Below are 23,140 nucleotides of genomic sequence, written 5' to 3' on the forward strand. Positions count from 1 at the left end.
ATATTTTGACACTAGGAACAATATTTTAAGTTGAAATGTCTATATTTTAATTTAGTAAAGATTTGGCAAGCCCCTGCTATATTAGCAATATCAAGATAATGAGATAAAGATCCCACTCTCAATAAAAATATAAAATTATACATGTTTCTTGTGCCCATCATCAGCCATCGTTATGAACATCACTCTGAACTGTTATGCACAATAAGATAACTAGAGGGTTAAAAATGAAGGTTTTACTGCTCACGTTGAATATTATTTTTAGAAAAGAAAGTCATTTCTATTATAGAGGAGGCATTGTGGTCTACTATAATGGCAAGCATATTAAAAACAATGCATTCCTGGTGAAATAATGCTTAGAGCATAGTCAACAAAATAAGCAGGCTGCTGAAAAAAGTTTAAATGTCATATTTCATTAATTCTAAGACACATTTCCTCCTGCTTTTAGATCTCTCAAATTGAAAGGCATCTTACAACCTATAGATGAAATCTAGTAAATAGAATAAGATAAAAAGTATCTTAGTTTCTTTCCTTGGGTTGTTTGCCTTTCTTTTAAGGGAAGGTTTGTTTGACTGTTGTGTTTTGTTTTTAACAGCTTGTTTATGAATCTTCCCTTTTCTAGCGTTAATGATTGTGTGAGCCTAGAATTTAAATGGTACAAAACTCTGATTTTTGTTTTTATTCTTTGTTCTGACCATTACTGAGGGGAGTACAGGACACTGAAGCAGAAACAAGGTCTGAAAGTGGCAATGTGGACCTTGCTCCTCTGTGGAGGACTCTGGTACCTGTCTGTGTCTGAATCTTGCCACTTCCACTTATCTAGCTTTGCGATCTGGAAAAGATTAACTTTAGCCTCTCTGTGCCTCAGTTTCTTCAAGTGCTGAATAATGGTATCTACCTCATAGTGCTGCTATGAGGGTTGAGTTTAATATAAGTAAGGCCTTAGAATAATGCCTGGCACATACTAAATATTCTCTCAACTTTAGCTGTTACCATTGTGCCTCACTTCCTTGGTGATCTCTTTAGATCCCTGTTTAACTACATCCTCATATTGTGAATGACTCCTAAAATGCTATCTTCAGCATGGGCCTATCCCCTGAAATCCAGGTGTCTATATCCAACTGTTTACTCCATTTGGCTATCTAAAGTTGTCTCAAAATTAACAGGTCTCTAAAAGAACTCAATTTTTTTTTACCTTCATTAAACGGTTTCTCCTCCAATTTTCCCAATCTGCATAAATGGCCCCAGATCATCCGTAAACCACTCTCTTTATCTGCCACGTTCCACAGTTAAGCTATCAGCAAAGTCTGGCAGCTATGCCTTCAAAATACATCTAGATCTGACCATTTCTCATGACCATCATAGCATTTACCTTGATTCAAACCATTGACTCTTTCCTGAACAATCGGAGTAGCTTCCTACTGATTTCTCAGCGTCCACCTTAACTCCTATAATCTTTTATCCAGAATGATCCCTTTACATTATGAACCATCATCATGTTTCTCCTTTGCTCAAGACCCTCTAATCACTTTTCATCTCACTCATAGTAAAAGCTTTAGTCCTAGGGAAGCCCACACAGTGGCATCTGCCTTGGTTCCACGGTACTTCTTGCTCCTCCTCTTCCCCAACTTGACTCTGCTTCAGCCACATTGATTTCTATAAATGGCTCATGCACCATCCTGCTCTTGCTATTCCTTCCACAAATGGTCAGAAAGTTTTGCTCCTTTATTTTCTTCATGTCTTTTATCAAATAGACCTTCCTTCCCTGACTACCATGAGGAAACAGTATCCATTTCCCTCCTCCCAGTCCTCTGTTTCTTACTTTATTTTATTTTTCTTCCTCACACTGATCACCACCTGATATGTTATCTATTTATCTCTCTTTCTCCTTGAGATCAGGGACTTTTTGTTCAGGCTGTATCCTTGGGGCCTAGAACTGTATCTGACACATAATAGGGACTTAGTAAATATTGAATAAATGAATGAATAAAATAACTGGTATGTTTTGAAACATGACTTTGTTGAGACCCTCCTTAAAGTGTCTGGATTTCCAACTGCAAATAGATTTGTAGTTATTACATGGATTTGTGAAAATTTTAAGATTGGATTAGAAGGGCTTTTTTAAGTCAGTAGTTTTTTTTTTTTTTTTTTTTTTTTTTTTATTCTATCATGTTTTCCTCCAGAGATTTGGGAGCTGTTTCTCTTATTCACTTGTTCAGAGCCAATGAATGTTACCCTTTAGTTTGCCAAAGTGGTTGCTGAGTGATGAGGCATTTCATCCCTCAGGGAGCTTTAAGTACTGCCCGCACACCATGTATAGTCACTGCTGGCTATGATCAAAACTGTGGAATTGATCAAGTCAGAATCTCCTACTAGGAAGTACAGGCAAGGGGCATTCAGACTCTGGGTCAGCTCTGGGAGCCTTTCAAATCTTCCCACTGGCACTTGTGTGAATTTCTAGTGCTCATGAAAGTGAGACACCCAAGGGAGTCTGCTGCCGTCTAATACACCAAAGGATTCCCATAGAACTTCACCCACAACTCTGCAGAGATCCAGGTCTCATCACAGACTTTTATAACTGAAGTTCTAATAAAATATTATTTGAACCAAGAGAAAAATCCCTTGTGGGTTTTACTGCTGCAGCTACGGCAGTAAAGAACTTGGCTTTTTCTCATTAGGGTGATTTACCTTTACAGGCTATTGAACCATTGCCTAGCAATGGGTTAAGAGCTTGAAATCAGAGTGATCTGGGTGCAAATCTTTGCTAAGATGATTACTACCTGAGTGAATTTAGACAAGTTACCTAAACTTTTTCAGTTGTTTAAATTGGTTAAATGATCAGTTGGCTATCTCACTGAAACCCTACTGGCCAAGTACTTAGTAAATCACCTGGCTTAGCTGGTTGCTGTCATTTTTATCTTTTAAATACCTTCCTTTGCCTTACATAATCACTAAAAGTATTCAGGAAAGTATTCTACTTAAAATATAGCATAATTTTTATTCCTGATTTATGATGTGCTAAAATGTAAAATGCATTACATCCCAATTAAAAGTAACTTTATAGTTTCCTAAATTATCTTAAGGTGCCATAATCTATGTTACTTAGATTTCAAGTGTCATTTTATAATCATAAAAAGAATTAATGTGAAATTTCTATTTTCTATTTATATATAAATATTATGGCTTATTTTAATCAATTTAAGATAAATGTAGAAAATGAGCATATTCTAACAAATATGTACATGTAGAAAATTTTTAATGTGAATACCCTAGCTGAGTTCAGGGCACATAATAGATATTTAAGAAATGTTGATGTCCCCTCATCCCAACATCTACATAAACTTTAACATAACCTGAACTTCATATAGCAGTCCATGACAAAGATATTAGTTTTTTAATGTTTTGAATATTAAAATAGTTTCTATTTTTAATATTGCCACTTGGCTATCTGACATCTACAATTTCTAGTGCAGAAAATAAGAGTTGTGTCTATATTTTATTATCCAGAGTGGTCTCTTTAAATTGTGAATCATTATCTTGTCATTGCTTTGTAAAACTGTCTGCTGTCTGCCAAGATTCAGCCATTCATGTATTAATGCAGCCAATATTTATTAAGTGCCTGCTGTGTACCAGGTACTGCTCTAGGTGGTGGGCATACAAGTATGAACAAGAAAGACAAGGTCTTTCTCTTTCAAGAGGGTTAAATTCTAATGTGGAATGATAGATCATAAACAAGCAAAGAAATAAACAACCAAGATAATTTCAAATTTTTCATGAATGGTAGAAAAGGCTGAATAATCAAGGATAGGGATGTTCCTTTAGATAACTGGTCAGAGGCAGCCTCCCAGAGGTGGTGCCCTCTGAGTCAAAACCTGAAATTTGAGTTAAAGTAGCCAGCCTGGGAGAGTCAAGGAAAAGCACTGAATTTAGAGGGAAGAGCAAACCCAAGGCCCCTGAAGCAGATAGGAGTTTAGGGTGTTTAAAGGCCAGTGGGTGCACCAGTCTGGCTGAGCACAGTGAGGGGCACTGACAAGAGACAGTGAGTGTACCACTGCACTCCAGCCTGGGTGACAGAGTGAGACCCTGTCTCAAAACAAACAAAACAAAACAAAACAACAACACAAACATAATTTCACTACCTGTTGAAAAAGATAAACTTGGCAATTGGGTGCTTAATCCACTGCAGAAAGAGACAGTGGGAGACTGTCACCAGGACTTATAGCATCATGTAGTCCAAAGAAGAGTGTTCAGATTTCATTCTAAATTCAATCAGAAGCTGAAAGAGCATTTTAAATAGGAAAATAAAGATACTTTTACTTTGGGAGGCCAAGGCAGGTGGATCCCTTGAGCCCAGGAATTCTAGACCAGCCTGGACAACATAGCAAGACACCGTCTCTACAAAATAAATAAATAAATAAATAAATAAATAAAGGGTTAGTGGTGTGTGCCTGTGGTCCCAGCTACTCAGCAGGCTGAGATGGGAAAATCACTAAAGCCTAGGAGATCAAGGCTGCAGTGAGCCATGATTGCACCATTGCACTCCAGCCTGGGTGACAGAGTGAGACCCTGTCTCGAAACAAAACAAAACAACACAAACATAATTTCACTGCCTGTTCAAAAGATAAACTTGGCAATTGGGTGCTTAATCCACTGCAGACAGGAAAAAAAGTGAGAGCTAGAAGCTCAGATTGGTGGTCATTTCAGTAATCCAGGCTAGAGATGGGGGAAAACTTGCTGGTTTAGACCAAGGAGGTAGTAGGAGAAATAGAGTTACAGAAGGATCAAATCTGACAGATAAAAGTGGAAAAATCAAAGACCCCTGGATTTTCAACTTGAGCAAGTAAGGAAAATTGGGGATGGGGGAATCTTAGCACAGATTTTGACAAGATGGGGAATTATCATGAGTCTTGTTTTTGGTATGTTAAAACATTTTTATACAAGTAAAAATGTCAAATATGCTGTTGGATTTGGGTCAAGGCTGAGGAGACGCATTTAGGAGGAATTGGCATCTGGTGGTATACAAATTCACAGGGCTAGGAAAAAGTATGGCTAGAGATCAAGCTCTGGAGCACTTCAACATTTAGAGGTCTCATTTGTAAGAAGCAACTAGCAAAGAAGATAGGGATGGAGCACACAGAGAAGGGGGAGAAAAACCAAAAACATGTGTCCTTGAATGATGATAATGATGATGATGATGATGATGATGACGACGACGACGACGACTAGCAATCACGGTGCCAAATACTGCTGTGATTGCCTTACATTCAATCCCCTCAATTTCAAAAGGTAGGTACTATTATTACCCCCATTTTACAGACAGGAAAACTGAGGCACAGTGGGGTTAAACAATTTTCCCAACTTTATACAGCTCAAAAGTGGCAGATGTAGGATTCAAATCAAAGCTATCTAAATCCAGAGGCTATGTTCTTAACAACAACCTGATATCACCTCTCTGATTTGACAGTGAAAAATTTGTTTTGTTTTTCTGAGGGTACAGAAAAAATATATCAAGTGTCACTGAGAGACAAAATAAGATGATAGGAAAATACCTGTTGGATTTATAATATGGAGGTAAGTAAGGTGGTGACTTTCATGGTAGTTTCTCAGTGGAGTATTACTAATGAAAGACAGATAGATGGGGGTTAACAAGTGAGCAGGGAGTAGAAAGTGAAAGCCACAGATTAGACCACTCTCGTGAGAAGTTCTATTGTAGAGCAGAAAAAGAAATGGCACTATAGCTAGAAAGGCATTTGGGACTCAGGGGAGGTGTGCTGGTTAGGACCTCAGGAAGGCAGACCTCAAGATGGAAACCAGAAGTACAAGAGATTTATTGGGATAATGATTTTGAAATATAAGGGAGAGAAGGAGCAGGAGTAGACAGGGAAAGCCTTCAGATCATGACATGTGTGAAAGGTGAGGGGCAGGAAGGAGGATTAAGTAGGAAAAGCCTGTGATTAGGGTGCAGCTCTGAGAAAGTCTCAGCCAGCCCAACCAGGGAGCTCTGTCATAAAGACTGCCCACAGGGGAGCCTGTGAGTTGGAATGGCTGGGAATCAGGAGCGTTGTAGTGATTGTGCTCAGTCCTTACCTAGGAGTTATGTCAGGAAAAGCCTGGCCTTAGCTTAAATGCTGTGGTGGATCCCAAAGGTGCTATAGCTGGAGGCCGTCACCTAATTGCATTCCTGGCAGCTGATCAGCAAGGCCTTTGTTAGAGAGAGGCTCAGGTAGCACACTCCCTGGCCACCATAGGAGGGTTATACATTTTCTATATGAGGGCTCTATAATGTTGGTATGCTCATGGAATCAAGGAGGTATAATGGAGCTAACACCATCACTTAATTTACAAAAATTAGCAAAGAACTTAATTTTGTTTTATTGATACTTCTAATACCAACATTTCTTGACAGAAGAAAAATATTTCCCAATATTCATTTAAATGGTGCCAACAAAAGTATTTTTAAACAGATAAAAATCATTTTCCTAGAAGATATCTCATTGAATATCAAATCTAGACACTTAACTTCTATAATTCAGTAGCAAAAACAAAACAAACAGAAAACCAAATAACCTGATTTTAAAAATGGGCAAAGGACTTGAATAGACATTTCTTTAAATGTCTATTCTATAAATTCCATAAAGACATACAAATGGCCAACAGGTATATGAAAAAGTGCTCAACATTGCTAATCGTCAGGGAAATGCAAATCAAAACCACAATAAAATATCACTTCATACCTGTTAGGGTGGGTGTTATTAAAAATATTGACAAAGATGTGGAGAAATTGGAACCCTCATCTATTATACTCTTGGTGGGAATGTAAAATAGTACAGCCACTATAGAAAACAGTATGGAGATTCCTGAAAAAATTAAAAACAAAACTACCATATAATCCAGCAATCCTACTCTAGGTATTTATCCAAAAGAATTAAAATCAAGATCTCAAAGAGATATTCACACTCCCATGTTCACTCTAGCATTATTCACAATAACCAAGATATGGAAAAACTCTTAATGTCCATCAAAGGATGAAGGAATAAAGATATTGTGGTATATACATACAATGGAATATTACTTAGCCTTGAAAAAAGAAAATCCTGCCATATGTCATGACATAGGTGAACTCTGAGGACATTATGCTAAGTAAAATAAGCCAATCACAGAAGAACTAATACTGTATAATTCTACTTATATGAGGTATTGAAAATAGTCAAAACCATTGAAGAAGAGAGTAGAATGGTGATTGCCAGGGGCTGGGGAGAGGGAGAAATGGAAAGTTTAGTTGGTATAAGGTTTGTTATGAAAGATGAAGCTCTAGAGATCTGCTGTACAACATTGTGCCCGTAGTTAACAATACTGTATTGAACACTTTAAAATTTGTTAAGAGAACAGATCTCATTGTTAAATCTTCTTCTATGATAAGCTGTTTAAAAAATCTGGACACTCAAGTTTGAGCAAACAAAGTGAAGGTTCATAAATTGGGATTCCTCAGTTTGGGCCTGTCTGAATTCACATGGCCCAAATAGGGTATAAGAAGCAAAATTCTGACGTACAGCATGCCCACAAACTTAACTGTCATATTTCAAAAGTTTAGCTAAATCCCATAATTGGGTACTGACTTGAAAAGCTTCCTTGTAGACTTTTAATTATATCTAATGAGCTCAAAATAACTAAATGCCATTAAAGCTGTTTTTTCTTACTGTGTCCCTAAAATGGTAATTTAAAAATACAAGTGAAAAGCTTGAGTGACTAGACACCAAGCCAAATTGTGTAATATCACAGAATTAAACTATAAACTATTTTTTAATCTAGAAACTCTTTTTTAGTAGTGAAATGACATTAAAGCAATCCACAAACATGGGTCAAAAAGTATTGAGAAACTACCTCTACTTAAAATACTAGGCTTGCTGCCTGCTTAATTGGATAGAAGGTCATTTGCATAGGCTGCGTAAAAGTTAGGAATTGGTGTTGTGTTTGTTTCACTTGGGCTGAAAGACCAACTAAATGCTATGGATTGATTGTAATTCAAAAAAAAAAAATACACAATACTCCCTCTCTCAAATTAAAAAAAATACAAAAACTCTCAGATTACCAAAAAAACATAGGCAAGATTGTTAATACTAGATCAAAATGTACACACATTTGAATCAATATATTTGTGTGCATGTGAAAAAATAATATATTATTTTTCAGTGTTAATGGGCCTCCTATTATAAGTAGAATAATTCCTGACATGTTAGTTGCCTGGAGGGTTTTTGGTGAGGATTACTCTAGTAATCTGAGGTGGCATTATGGCAATGCTATAGGGGCATACAAAAATACTCACAGCTACCCTGTTCCCTGGGAATTTGGACAGGTAATCCCATATGGTTCATAGGACTTGTTATGTATGGTAGAGAATGATTCCAAAACAATAGAAACCACCAAGGGATATTAAGAGGGAGTTAAATATGAAGAGACCTTTGCTTTTCTGATGAAAATAGGGCTACCGGCAATTGTGGCCAGTGGTTGCCAAAACCGTGTCCTCTTCAAATTAATTTAGATGATAATTTTGTTCAAGAACTTGATCATAGAAACACTTAGTTTATACAACTACTTGTTTCAAAACAATACCATAATAATCTCATTGCAAATGTCTGACTGTGATGCTCCAGAGTTCAGCTACTGCAAATGTGTCTTTATGGGAATGATTAGGAGTAATTCTAATGGGAAAGAGTGAAAATTCAAAATTCTTGACTGGCATGGTTGAAGGCACAAAACTGCTGCCTCTATACTTCTTAGTGAAAAACAGCATTGGACATACCAGGAACAGCAATCTGCTCCTCTTAGTACCTTGCATTTATGAAGTGATATCCTCCAGGAAGTACATGATGCTGGGCATCACATCATGCTCTAGGCAACACCATGAGTGCTTCATTTTCACAAAGACCCAAGGGGTGAGATGAAATAATTCTCATATTCATAAATTAGGAACTATAATTCTGCAGAGCAAAACTGATTTTGTGCACTCAGGCAGTGGGATTAAGTTAATGCCACAAGCTCTTCTCTTTGTGAAAAGTACATTTCTCCTGGCTGAAGAGAGCAGCAATAATTACTCAAAATTCCTGAAGTAGGCCAACCATTTGTCCAGAGGGCAAAGAAATCCTGCTTGACTGGCTTCCACCCGAAACCAGTGTCAAGTTCCTGACCTTATGAACTCCCCAGAACAATATTCGGTGGAAAAGGAGGAGCTGTTCTCTTTAGCTTCTTTTCTATTTTTTTTTTTAAATAAGAGCAAGCAATGTGGTTATGTTTTTATTGGCACTCAAGATTATTTCTGAGAGGAGAATTGCTATATTTAAAAATGGATTTTTATCCTTTATAAGTTGGGTGAAATTTTTCTTAGTTTCACTTTCTTAAAAAGGTAGTACTTATTAAGGGAACCCTTCCTTTCCTTATGGTGGGTGGTGCTGGCAGATGAACAAGCCACGATTATGCATGTAGTCAAAGAGTTTGCTTTATAAGATGTTATTCTAGACATCAAATACATTATACACATGTCATTTCAAAAAGTTCAAAGTCAAAGATAAAAATATATTTAGCAAATAAGAAAACAGCCTGAATGAGAGGGAGTCAAGTTTTTGGAAATGAGAAATCAACTTAAGTGTTATCAGTAATCTAACGCCTTTTTTTCTCTAAGTGTCTTCTGAGTGGGTCGGGTGACAATTGGTCCCAGGACTGGAGGAAAGAGACTTGACTATCTAAAGCAGTGGCTCTTAAAAAGTGGGACGTCATAGAGCTCCTTGAAAATTAGATAAAAGCTAGGAAGGCACACCCTCAGGAGAGAAAAAAAATAGTTCATTAGCTTACAATGAAATTTATATAGAATTTCAGGAATTTCATAACTCCCCTGAAATGCATCAATGGATCCCCACCCCAAAGTTTATGAATAAGGCTTGTGTAAGGAAGGGGTGGAATTCTCAGCTCTATTCCACCAAGTTTTGGGAGACTTTGTCTACCCTGCCAACCCCAACCTATCACTGAAGTCTTTAGTTCCTCCTAGTCAGCTCCATTGCTCTGAGCTTGGTGGCTATGAAGAAATGCAGGTGGGTCAGCATTAGCAATGACTGGTTCTTCATTAGCACTAGCTATGAAGCAAATGCTGTACCCTATCTTCCTCAAAAGGTTGAGTTCTTAAAACTTCAACCACACACAAGCCATTGCAAAACTCACTTGGAGAGCTCTGGAGGTCCCTTATGAGAAGACACACATGATTTCAAAACTGATTCTAGCTGGGTGGTTTTGTAGTTGCCTGAATGAAATGATCTGTCAATTTTAGCTTTGTTCTTAGGAGAAACATAGCCCCATCTTGAAACATTCTTTATAATCAGCTTGGATAATCCTCCTACTCCCAAATTCAAAGATTAAAAGTACCTGGAAAAAGAACTAACCTTTCTCTTCTTGAGACATTCCCTCCAGGGCAGGCCGAAGGTATATTGGGAAAAGCAGGGAGGGAAAGCTTATCATTTTTCTATCCATAGTATCCTGAGCTGTCAACTCAGCAGCTTTCACAAGGACTAAACCTACTTTTAAAGAAAGGAGAGCTTGAAAGTGTTGTACCATTAGCTATTCTGATTCTAGCCCATGCCAGGAAGCAAAGGTTCTTATTATACCATGTTCTATTTTTGATCTAATCCGTATCAACAGCCTGAAGTCTCAGCATGGTAATGCTGGGGAAATTCTTTGATGATAATTGGAAACTGTACTGCCTTGCCCCTTAAGTTATACAATCTGACTGTCACTAGAAGTGTCATTTGGACTATAAAGAGTCAGGGATAAGAAAAGTGGGCATCTGAAATCTACGTGGAAGATGCAGTAGCAAGTCAGAGCCTCTTGTGAAAGTTCTGTTGGTTAGGTTGGGATATCGAAAGAAGAAGATGTGTCCCCTACCCTGATATTTCAGAGCCTCAAGACACTCAGTAAACCAACACTCAAATTCCTGGACTGCATCACCTTTACTTTTTGTGCAGACAACACAATATGGGAAGAAAAGTCATACTACATAGCAGTTATTAAAAACAGTTAAATGTAACACCAGGCGTTAAAACCTAGTACCTTCTTGTCATGATAAAGATTGTAACAAGAACAGGAAATGGCACAGCACAAATCCGTTTTCATGATAATGATCTCGTGAATGTAAAGAGCATAGGAAATGGAACAAATGTAACCCTATTCCATTACCACCTTCAAACGGTAACCTCCTTGTCCTAGTCACATGCCCTACTTATGGTCCTGATTAAAGCACAAAGGAAATCATAAGACTGTGACTCTGAGGGAACGAAGCAGCTCCCACTTATTTGTGTGCGTGTGTGAGCACACATCTTTCCTTCTTTGAACTAAGTTGCACCAGGCAATTCCTTACAGCTGATTCCCCAACTTTGTCCTGAATAAAGCCGGTCAGACATGGGAGGGACAAAGAAAGCTAAAAACCAATGAGTCATCTGGGAATAGATGTTCTCTTTACTACCCTTTATCAGAATGAGGAAATGATGCCTTCCCCCCAAATAGAGGCAGTAAACAGTGAAGATGACTGAATGCTTTTCTTCTGTCTAGCCTTCATAGCACCTCAGCTTACCAAGGAAAATGGAGCTTCTATCTCATAGTGAGTGTGTTCTCTCTTCCCTACCTAAAGAGGCTGCAACATGATTAGGGCTCGTCTAGAAGTACAAAGGAAGATCTCAGGGACACAAGGAAGCCAGAAATAGTTGAGGTCAATCAGGCCAGGTTAGGGTTGGTGCTGCCATACTATATTCCTCTTTGACCTGGGCATGTTTTCCAGGAGGATCTATTTCCCTTGGAAAGCTCTTTAAGTAACACTATGTGAAATTTATAATAAATCCTCTCACCCCAAGATGACTGCTTCAGATATGAGGGGGAGTAGTGAGGAATGATGGCTGAGTTTGCCAAATAAATACGAGGGAAGATGAAAGCCAGATTGCCTGGAGTACTGTGCCCACACCCTGCCTCAACCAAATGTCACTCACTCTGCCCAGCTGGCTAGTAACTCCTTACATGGCATCCAAGTATCTGTACTATACATTTTCTTCTACTGGGGCTTTGTCCAGGCAAGCAAGTCTGAATGCACTTTACATTTCAGGCATCTTGGATATCTGTTCCTTCCAGATGATATCCCAGTTACCAAATGGCCCTGATTGGTTAATGAGGAATGCAATCCTGTTCCTTGCCCTGGCTATTTGTCACTTGTTAAATGATGTTAGGAGATTCCCAGGTGATTTCACATCTGAAGACTGTAATTTGTGGCCTCCTTATCAGATGCCATGCAAAATGTTTTCTGTGGGTCACAACAGTTTCCCAAGTATCCTATCTTGATTCCCAAGATAGATTACACTGGAATTATCTTTTCAAAGAAAGGAAGGAAGCCCTACATTTCAAACAGTCTAAAGTAGGTTATAAGGACTGAAAAATAATCATTTGGGGACAATCTTACATGAGAAAAAGAATATATTGTAAAAACTGGCTAAGTCAATTCTAATCTATAATGTCTTTTAGAGGTTTTTAACTGTATATGATTGTAGGGAATCAAAACCACAGATCTGTTTTTACTTATTTCAAAACATTCTATAATGCTCTTTAAAAAATCATATTATAGGATAACTGGAATCTAGGTAAGATTACTATTAAATACATTGCCATTCTCCATTTCTTTTTTACTGTATTTACCTTTGCCTTTTTATTCCCAAATGACTAGTTTTGCTGCACAGCAATTTCTTTTCATTCTTTCACTACTCTAGGGGAGACAATGTGTTAGAATAGAAACGGAACTAAACCAAGAACAGTGTGAGGAGGAAGATCTCACTAGCTGTGAGGCCTGGGGGTAGGCCCTTGACATTTCTGATCCTCAGTTTTATCACTTACGAAATAGAGATTGGTTTCATTGATATTGAGGGTCTCTTCCAACTCTGAAGTCTAGGAGACACTGGATTTTCATAAAATCTAAACCTATGACATAGATAGCATCCATATTTGTTGTTGTTCTGTGAATTTTCAATAAATATCACACTGAATATTTTTATTAAAAGGATATTACCTTTTCTTTCCATGAGTATTAAAGTTCCAAGTCTCCAATTTCTTGCCTATAAGTTTTCATTTTTACAGGGGAGAGTTACTTTTCCTCAATGCTTTTAGTATCTACTATTAAGAAACAAAGACAGACACCGAAGTAGAGAAGAAGATATGAAGTAAATGATATGGGAAGTTTTAAAGCATAACCCGGACCTACTGTAGAGACAAGGAAGAGGGAGGAAGGCTATTTCCACTAGGACACTGCATGGGCAATCTCCAAAGTAAGGGACTATATTTTTCAGAAGTGCAACTGACTGAATGAAAGAATAAAAAGAATCCATATATACAAAGTTCTGAATTATATTTGGTGAGGAGACTTTTGACATCTGCTAAGCTATTAGACACCAGTTTTTAAAGAAATAAACCATTCCCTGTACATAGAATTAGAAAAAAAAAATGTAAGAAATCATTTTTTAATTCAGAAACAAGAGCCAGAACCAACATTCCTACTACAGATTAATACTATCTATACATAATCCTGAAATACACCTAACTAAAGAGCTACTGACTAGCATGCCTGCCACTGTCCTCTGCTATCTGCTCTGTTCCAGTGCTCTCTTGGGTAACCCAAGTCTGTTTCAAAGGCTTTCACACTGTGGTACCAGAGATAAGAATTGTCTCAGGCTTTTGCAGACAATAACTACTGACCACAGTAAGGTGGATTTCCCACCCCAGAAGTGGTATCAACTGAAAAGGGAACTCTCTTTGATCTTATCCAGCGTCTTCATGCCATTTTAAATTACTCCACTGTGGCATCTTATTTCCCAATTCCACAGTCATCTTACTTGTTTATTCATTTGAACACCTGAAGTTACATTATTTGAAATGATTTCCTACCTGGAAAAATGAAACAGGGATTTAAAGCACTCATCCTGTGGTGTACAAAGGATAGATAGAGAGACTTCCTCATGTGCAAAGATGAACTGGTAACAACAATGTCATCTCTAGCATGCTTCTCTGTGAATCAAGGGATGTCTTCTAATAAGACTTCAGACTTGTGCTTTTATTCCAAGCTAGGCTCTGGTGTCAAGATGCCCTTGGCTAAACTAATAAACTGTTGATCAAGCAGATGTGACTTTGCTACCAAAGATTAGGAGGACTATGGAAAAAGTAAACCAAACACTACAAGCTATAACACCATCACCTAGCACAGAAATAACAACTAAGAGGATACAAAAGAACATAGAAAAATAGTTTTCCCAAAGACTGTAATTTTACTGCCCCCTTTGTCAATGCAAAAATACAGACTCCTACTCATCTGGTAATTCTTACCAGTCCTTTAGAAAGATAGGTGACAGAATTGTTGCCACTTGTAGTGGTGATTAGACAGCCATAGATAAACAGGAGGTAAATATTTGCTATCTCAACTACAGATGTATGCACCTGGTCATAAATCAACATATGTTTTATTGTGAACCACCAAAAATATGTTGAATCAAGTATATGTTGCTTATATCCATGCATTTGAGCTGTGGGGAGCAGTTTAAGGAATATGTAGGGCAGTCTCTACATTTGAGAGAATCTGATAAGACAAAAACCAGATGAAATACATGTGATCAAATTCATATGATTGGATATAAGATCTATTATAGGGTAAAGGATACATTGGTCAAATTGAAACCAAGTATGCAATGATATCTCTGAAAATGGCCGAAGGACTCCATTTGCCTTTACTAGGATGGGAAAGGCTTTGTGAATAGAGTGGATTTTGAGCTCACTATTGAAGAAACTTCAGAAATGAAATGCAGATGAGTTTGTGGGTAAATCATGAAGACGCAGAGAAAAATCGAGCAATAGCTAGGTACGACCATGAGAATGTTGACAGATGATTAAACCCCATTTAGGCACTTGAGGGATTTTCAGAAAAGAATTATGTGATCCCAGCAATGAAAACTAGTTAGTAGTATTTAGGTGAACTTACCAGTGGAGAAGAGGATCTTAAATATAAATGGTAAACCAAGAAATAGTAGCTAAAACCAAAGATATTCAGAACTCACATGAAGAATGTAACTCAAAATATGAAGTAACAAAATGTCATTCTTACAGTAAATGCTGGCATTATTGGGGAATGGAATTTGCTGGGGCCAGACTACACTGAATTTTCTTGGAACAGGAAAGACTGCTTTTATGGAAGTCAAAGGCAGGTTCTATCTACAGGAAACGGAGTAGTGTGTTCTTCCCCCCTTTTTTTCCTCTCATTTACACCATTGAAAATGGATTTTTAAATGATTTTAAATGAGGAAAGTGTAACCTATGAAATTACATGTTATGAAATACAATCCTATCTTTTTTTCTGACTCAAAAGGAAATTCAATTTCTTATAATGCCTTAAGTTATTATTACAAATGTTGGCAAGGATGAATAGTTAACAATTATTGGGGATCTTCTACATTGGGTATGCTGTTAAGGGTTTTATATATGTTTTCCTACATGCTAAAATAGTATTCTCTACAGGCATTCCGAGGAATCTCTCTGTTTTAAATAATCAACTTTACTGCACATTGTATATATTTTTCATCAGCTTAATTGTTTGAAGAAAGAAATGATTAGGACAAAAATACAGTGTGTAATGGCAGCCACGTGAGAATAGGTGTGTTGAGAAAAATTAAGAACTTTATGATTATTTTTTTGCAAGTTTAACATGAATATATACATAGGTCTCTAGATAGAGGTGTTACTAAAAAAGAAAAAGATCCAGCAAAGAAACAATCTTATACTGTTAAAACCAGAAAGTTGTGTAGACATGTATGCATGGCTGAATTTCAGGGGAAATATTAAGACAAAAAAAGCTAATATTTTGAATCATTTGTTGCATTTCTGAGGCATTATTGCAATGATTTTAATTTACTCCTGTTTCCATGTGGATGATGAGCAAATTTTGCAAACAATTAGGAATCTTGAGCAATATTAGCATAGGTACAAGATAACCTTAGGCAAGGCTCATATTTCTGTACATCACTGGCAAAGCTAGGCCTTTATCTTAAGATAGCCCGTTTGGAAGATTTACTGGTTATAAAGTCATTTTATTTTGAGCCCACAAATACTCAGTATTTATAGCGAGTAGGTTTCTAAATACATTCTCAAGAAAGCATAAAGTTGAAAGCCCTGAAAATGCAGTTTCTCTAAGGTGCTTCGTATTAAATTTAAAGATAGCTGTTTCAGAAGAGAAATGCCATATGTATAACTTACTCTATGTTCATTAGCCCTTTTGGTGGAGTCTCTCTATGTAGTACCATAGAATTAGATAAGACAGTAATTCCAAGTCAGGCTAAGTGAGAATGAAATGTTTGCTGTCTTTCAAATTAAATAATATAACTACTTTGTCAGGTATTGCAGGTGAGATAAATACAGAATATCTCAATGCCTGCCCAATATAATACTTTATTCTGTCTTAAGTAATAGGACAAAATGAATTGAAATTTCTAAATTGTTAAGAATAATTATTTAAAAAATCAACTATAGGTATTTGATATTATAGTATTGTGTTAATATTTGTAAAGCAGTAACTTTTTATACATTGCTCATTTTATAAAGCAGAATAAATGGTGTAATAATATGTGTATAAGTAGGAAATTCTCCGAAGGAAAGGCTGCAGAGACATAGGTGTTTACCAAAGTATTCTACCTCATATATTAGAATCAATGGAAACAAAATACAAGAAAATTGTGTAGTTATTTCATGTAACATCAAATGATACATTGCCTTGAGGATGACAGAGTGTATTTATAACAATATATCAGCTGGGCAAGGTGGCTCACACCTATAATCCCAGCACTTTGGGAGGCTGAGATGGGTGGATCACTTGAGATCAGGAGTTCAAGACTAGCCTGGCCAACATGGTGAAGCCCCATCTCAACAAAAAATACAAAAATTAGCCAGGCATGGTGGTGCACACCTGTAATCCCAGCTACTCGGGAGCTTGAGGCAGGAGAATCACTTGAACCCAGGAGGCAGAGGTTGTAGTGAGCCGAGATGGCAACACTGCACTCCAGCCTGGGCGACAGAGCAAGACTCCATCTCAAAAAAAAAAAAAAATATATATATATATATATGTCTATCTATCTATCTATCTATCTATCTATCTATCTATCTATCTATCTAATTTACAGGCATATTTACAACCAACATCGTTCAGTCAAAAGTAAAACCTTAACTCAAGATACTCAAACTACAAATGGCATCCCAAATGGGAGTGACTACAGAAAACTTCTCCAGAAAAGTTTGATTGGGCATTATTGATGCTTGGCAGTTGGATGAAAAGTCCTTTAAATTTCTCTTCACTACAATATATCCCATTACCTTTTCAATGATATTGCCTATGATCCCTTCAAATTTAATTAAGCATAAGTATTCAACATGTAAGCATACAATTTGTGACTTGAAAATGTACAGAAGCAGAAGTTTACAAATTGTGAAAAAAACAGAATAACATTTGGCATTTGGATGAAATGTTTTCCCTCTGCGTACTTTCAAACCCATTAACCCCTTATTTTATTTTAACAGCATTCTTATGATATAGGTGAATTTGGTCTTTAGAATTACTCATATTTTACTGTGGGAAATGAGCTTATTACCTGCCCAAGGAATGCAGATATGGAATTTATATTCAGATTAAAATTCTATCACCATGATGTTCTTTCCAAGAAAAATTGTTGCCTGTCAAAAAGAGAAGCAGGATGGACTTCAACCGAAAGTTGGAAATAACGCTGAAAAGAAGAAAGAATAATAATAATTTTTTAAAAGATGGCTTGGCAGATGAAGATAATGCAGCATTATAATCCCTTGGAGTTGGTTTGGTCAACATTTGTAATCTCACCCCTTGCTTAAGCCTTGGTAAAATAACATTTTATCTTATGGTATTTTTTACATACATTACTTGCTTTCAAAATTATTCTACACCACATAGCTCAAAAAGGAGCTTTAAAATATCTAAATTGCCATGGATGATACAAATTCCTCCTGACCCCACCCTCATTCTTTCCCTAAAATCACAATTTTTATCACTTCCAATCTGGAAGTGTAACATTTGACAAATGAGATGACCATATTTGTAATATCTCCTCTGCCCACTTTAGAAATATTGTTCATAGATGACATAACTTCTATGTGCTGTATAGTGTGAATTTGAACCTTCCTGTCTTAAAATGTTAAGGTCTTTATGCCACATAGGACAGATACTGCATTGTTAAATAGCTGTAGTAGTTTTTGCTAAAGGCCATTTTTGTTTTTATTTATCTGGAGGAAGAAAATGACCTGTATGTTACTTTTTTTTTTTCTGAGACGGAGTCTGGCTCTGTCGCCCAGGCTGAGCGCAGTGCCGCGATCTCGGCTCACTGCAACCTCCACCTCCCGGGTTTACACCATTCTCCTGCCTCAGCCTCCCGACTAGCTGCGACTACAGGTGCCCGCCACCACGCCCGGCTAATTTTTTGTATTTTCAGTAGAGACGGGGTTTCACCGTGTTAGCCAGGATGGTCTCAATCTTCTGACCTTGTGATCTGCCCTCCTCGGCCTCCCAAAGTGCTGGGATTACAGGCATGAGCCACCACGCCCGGCCAAAATTTTTAAAATTTAAAATGATGAGGCAGTGGTGGATCTTAGCAATTGTTAAGACATGTATTACACTTTTGGTATGGGTATGTAAGCTCCTCTAGTGAGAGACTAAAATTTCAATTGGCAATGCTTGTTACTTCTGTTTCAAAATTTCCATTCATTGTTTGAAATTTTAATAATTACTGCTACTTACATTGTTTGGGGGAAAAAAACTTCCTTTCCTGGTTATTTACTTACTATTTCCAAAACGTTAAAGTAATCCAGGCAAGTTAAATCTAAGCTAAACAAAAAGTGAACTTTATAGTTCAAGTTCTAAACCATTTTTCAAAATCACTTCAATAGCAAGACTGTAAGTACTTTAAGGCTCATGGGTGGTGATATCTTATATTTCTATGAACCTTCCAATGTCATCTATTAGTGTTCTGGCCAAATAATAGATGTTTTACAAATGTCTGATTGTTTAACAAAAATGCGTGTATCATTCACCTCTCCTTTGCCCTCTGGTTTATTTTTGGCAAAGCACACTGGTGGGAAGTTATTTCAATGTTTTTCAATTAAAATATTTAATAATTAAACATTGAGCTTAACAGGGAAGGAGAATGCAAGAACTGGCCCACAGGAACAAGTGATGAATACTGAAATAATGAATGGGTGCAGCAGTAGCAGCAACAGTCAGTTTCATGCTTGCAAGGAAATGATGAGTGGGAAATTTGTGACACCTGACTTAAAATCAATGCTCCTGGAAGGTGATACAATAGCTCTAAGCTGGAAAAAAAATAAGTACAGGGGGAAATCAAAGCTGACACAGTGAAACTGCACAGAAAGAAATGGGTAGAATAATGACAATGTCAAGCAACTAATGGAGCTAATGAGGTATAACGTGATGGTGCTAAAGATCTCATGTCTTCCAAAGCAACTAGTTAATTTAGCTGATTAATTTGCTAACTCAGTTTTTCTTTTTAATCCCTTAGGGAGACCCTGGTGGTCTCCTTGTATTATATTTTATATCATGTATCAAAGAATATTCAAACTGCTACTTAATATTAGAAAGATACACTTAAAAAGAGGAAGTAAATGCTAAAAAGAAGAGCTTTAATTTGTTTAATAAAGTGATGATCATCTAACTCCAAAACAAAGCCCAGAGTTGTTTCTCTCAATGAGAAAATACGAAAGAAAGAAAAATGAAGTAAAATGTGCACTACTATTTTTTTCTGGCTCCAAGAGAAAAAAAGAAAAGAATACCTGTAATTTGCACTTTAAGACAACAACCTTATCATTTGAGATCTTAAAAGTCTGCATGCTTGCAACACTGTATTTTCTTTGTTAAATTATTTCTGAATTCTTGTTTTGGTTGTAAGGAGACTTGTAAATGGCTTTCTTCATATTCTTCTACTTTAAAAATAGTAGGGGATGGGTGTAAAAGTGGCTAAATGAGAACATTAAAGAAAGGGCTCTTAAAGGTATTTGGACCTGCCAGGCAAACTCTGTAAAGTTGCAGTAGAGTTGTTTTCAAGGTAATAGTCAGCGTCCTTCTCTGAAAGCTGATTTAACTTGGCTAGATGATAGGCATCTCTTTGGGTAAGTTAAAGGGTCTCAAGCAATAAAGTATGTTTTATCTTGGTTAAGCTGATAATTTGTCCTACTTAAGCAAGTAATGCAAATTTCCTTGCAAAGCTCTGTGCTCATTAGCTCATAATTAGGGCAATAAATCTGGAATCACAAAACAGATCAGTGAAAACATCATAGTACTGTAAATGTGGGAGTGAGGTTATCTTCTCCTGTAGGAATCAGTAGAGAGTTTGCAAAAATCTATTCGGATTCTGACTGTGACTCTACATGTGATTATCATAAATTTAACTACTAGGAAGAAGAGAAGGAAAGGAAGGCTGAGGGCCTTCCTTTAACAGTCCAGGTGACAACCAAAATTTTAAAGACATCTCTTATTATCAAGACCACCTATAATCCTAAGATATATTATGTTTATGAATTATCTTTAAGTAGGTCTTTCACACTAATTTTCATACATGAACATTTTTGCAAGTAAGCACTTACTGTGCTGCTGGTGGGGAAACCAGTGGCCTGCAGGTACTGAGCAATTAGTCAGAATTCACAGAGTGAGTCAAAATACCATGTCAAGTAGAAAGCCAGAAGAGAACTCTGCAAAGTACAAAAGCCTGCATTCCACCCTTAGTATACAGAATTCTGGTGTGGACAGACAATTTGAATTACTCTAGAGATGACAGAGAAAACTGTGAACTCATAAGAAACCAAACAATTCTGCTTTCTTTTTTTCTTTAACACAAAAATGTTAATTCAACACTGCTTACTTGTATCACAGTACCTCTTTCATTTCACTTGCAAATTGTTTACAAATATGCCCCTCTCTCACTCAGAAGTCATATTCACTGATATTGGTCTAAATCATGCCTGTACATGCTATGTATTTTCTGTTCATTTCTGAGCTCCACCCAACTTGCTCATTTTCCTTATCGCTCAAGATTTAGAAAAAGTTGATTCATGTCAGTACGACATCATGCAGATTGACTAAAACTAACTTTGAGATTAGGGGAGACACGTCTTTCTATAAAAGAACCCGGAGTTGCCCTTAGACTTTATGTGTTCATCCTGCTATATATGACACTTAAGCTAACAGAACTGAATTTCTTTGTGGTTTACATCTCTAGAGAGAATATGTTTCTTCTTGTTTAAGAAGTGATACACTGAGATCTTAAATCTTCCTGGTTTTAGCAGAGGAGACAGGGTGGGCTCTTCAGTGATCTATATTCTCCAGTCAAGTTGTTACTACTGAAGTGGAAACTTTTCTTCAAATTATTTGTCTGGGTCTCATTTGGGCCTAAAATGCAGACTTCAGCTTAGATGAAACTATCAGAAATTTAGGAAATGAAAAGTACCCAACAGCAAAAAGCTAAATAAAGTGAATACGGCATCTATTTATATGTATTTAATCCTTAGAAGACAAGCTTCTAGAGAAAAAAACCACAGGAGAATCTTAGCCTATGCTAATAAGTGAAGAGGAAGATACTCACCATGTAATATTAGCTAAAAAAACAAATGTGCATGGTGGGAACAGATGGATTTTTATTTTGGATTTAACTCATTAAAGGTATTTCGTAGTCTGGCTGCAAGTCAGACTATTTAGAATGATGGAGATAGGTATTAAAACTAAAATAACCCAGCTATTGTTAATATTAATAAATCGGCTTGGAACTTGCACTTTCTTCCAGCTGTTATCTTTAAACAATCTATTTAAATATTTCTTTGCTCTCTTACCTTTCTTTAATTTCTCAAAGATATGCATAGCCACTATCCTATCCCTTTCCTATATGGAATACTTAGCACTAATTTACATTTTGCCAATATATTTATACTTTGCTTCTTGGCCTTTCAGTGAAGACTAAAGTGCTGTAACGTGTAGTAAATATGTTCACCCACTACCTAGAAGTCTCCCAGACAAAAAAATTCCCTAATTTAATAACCATCAGTTTTTCAAACAATGTCAGATATATCCCACCATTTTCCAAAAAAAGCTGCAAGCAACATTTCACCCAACAGACCCTAGGCACCATCAGTGGTTAAAGGTCTTACCTCAGTATGAGGCAGCTGGGTAAGATCTGGAATATGCATGTGTCCTACAAGGCTGTATGTCATGAGCCAGTGCCAGAAAGGGCAATTTTCTTTTTTATTTAGACCAATTCGAGAAAAATAAACTTGTTTACAGGCCACCTTAAAAAATTCAACATGGGGATAGCTTTATTTGGGCTTTTGTGAGAGTGGATATATTCATTCAACCTAGATTATCCATTTAGTGTCAGTGAAAAAAATTGCAGGCACTTCTTAGTCACCAATATGTTAAGGTTTGTAATAATCCAGAGCAATTTTCTAATTGTATCCTGAAAATAGGTTCTTCATCACATGGAAAATATGGGAAGATTGCAAAACTGAGTCATGGGTTGCTCATTACTGACCTGGAATCTTATTCTCTCTAAGTTATTCAAAACACAGAACAGTTGGTGTCAGAGTTTCTCTAAAGGGAGCATTCATTTAGAAGTGAGGACAAATAGCTCAGATTTAAGCCATGTAAAAAGAGTGGGAATTGAAGATATGAACCCAACACTTAATTTTTAACATAAAGGCAAATGTCAAGGTGCATATGTGAGAGAGATGAGGAACACACCATCACGAAATAGGGAATGTTAGGGCCAGATGGAAACCTTGGTGATTATTTAAGTCCACCTCCTAGATTTTTACAGACAAGGAATCAGATAAATGACATGATGTCTTAAGACATTCCATAGCAAAAGCTTGGGAGTCAATACTACTTCAGTTTGATTACTGGTCCAGCAATTACTGGCTGTGGGGCATTAAGTATGTTATTTTACCTCCCTTTGCTAGTTTCATCTATGATATTGGGATGATTGTGCAGCACTAAACTAATAAGTTGTTTCAAGGA

At 36.8% G+C, this 23,140-nt stretch overlaps 1 long non-coding RNA gene across 1 annotated transcript in view, besides 1 other annotated feature; it reads right to left on the reverse strand.

Moving 5' to 3' along the window:
• The window catches only part of LOC102725082 (uncharacterized), a 56,826-nt gene that overhangs the window by 14,808 nt on the left and 18,878 nt on the right, over positions 1-23,140 (reverse strand). The window contains exon 2 of the long non-coding RNA XR_007088066.1: positions 17,691-17,822. This is a non-coding gene — a long non-coding RNA (uncharacterized LOC102725082). The remainder of the gene's footprint in view (positions 1-17,690; positions 17,823-23,140) is intronic.
• Positions 5,801-5,900: an enhancer, noted in NCBI's record as "active region_17057". NCBI's record gives its function as "activates an Ori minimal core promoter by ATAC-STARR-seq in GM12878 lymphoblastoid cells {active_cell/tissue: GM12878}" and the evidence as "EXISTENCE:reporter gene assay evidence [ECO:0000049][PMID:35858748]".

Source organism: Homo sapiens, chromosome 2, assembly GCF_000001405.40.
Source record: "Homo sapiens chromosome 2, GRCh38.p14 Primary Assembly".
Taxonomy (NCBI): domain Eukaryota; kingdom Metazoa; phylum Chordata; class Mammalia; order Primates; family Hominidae; genus Homo; species Homo sapiens.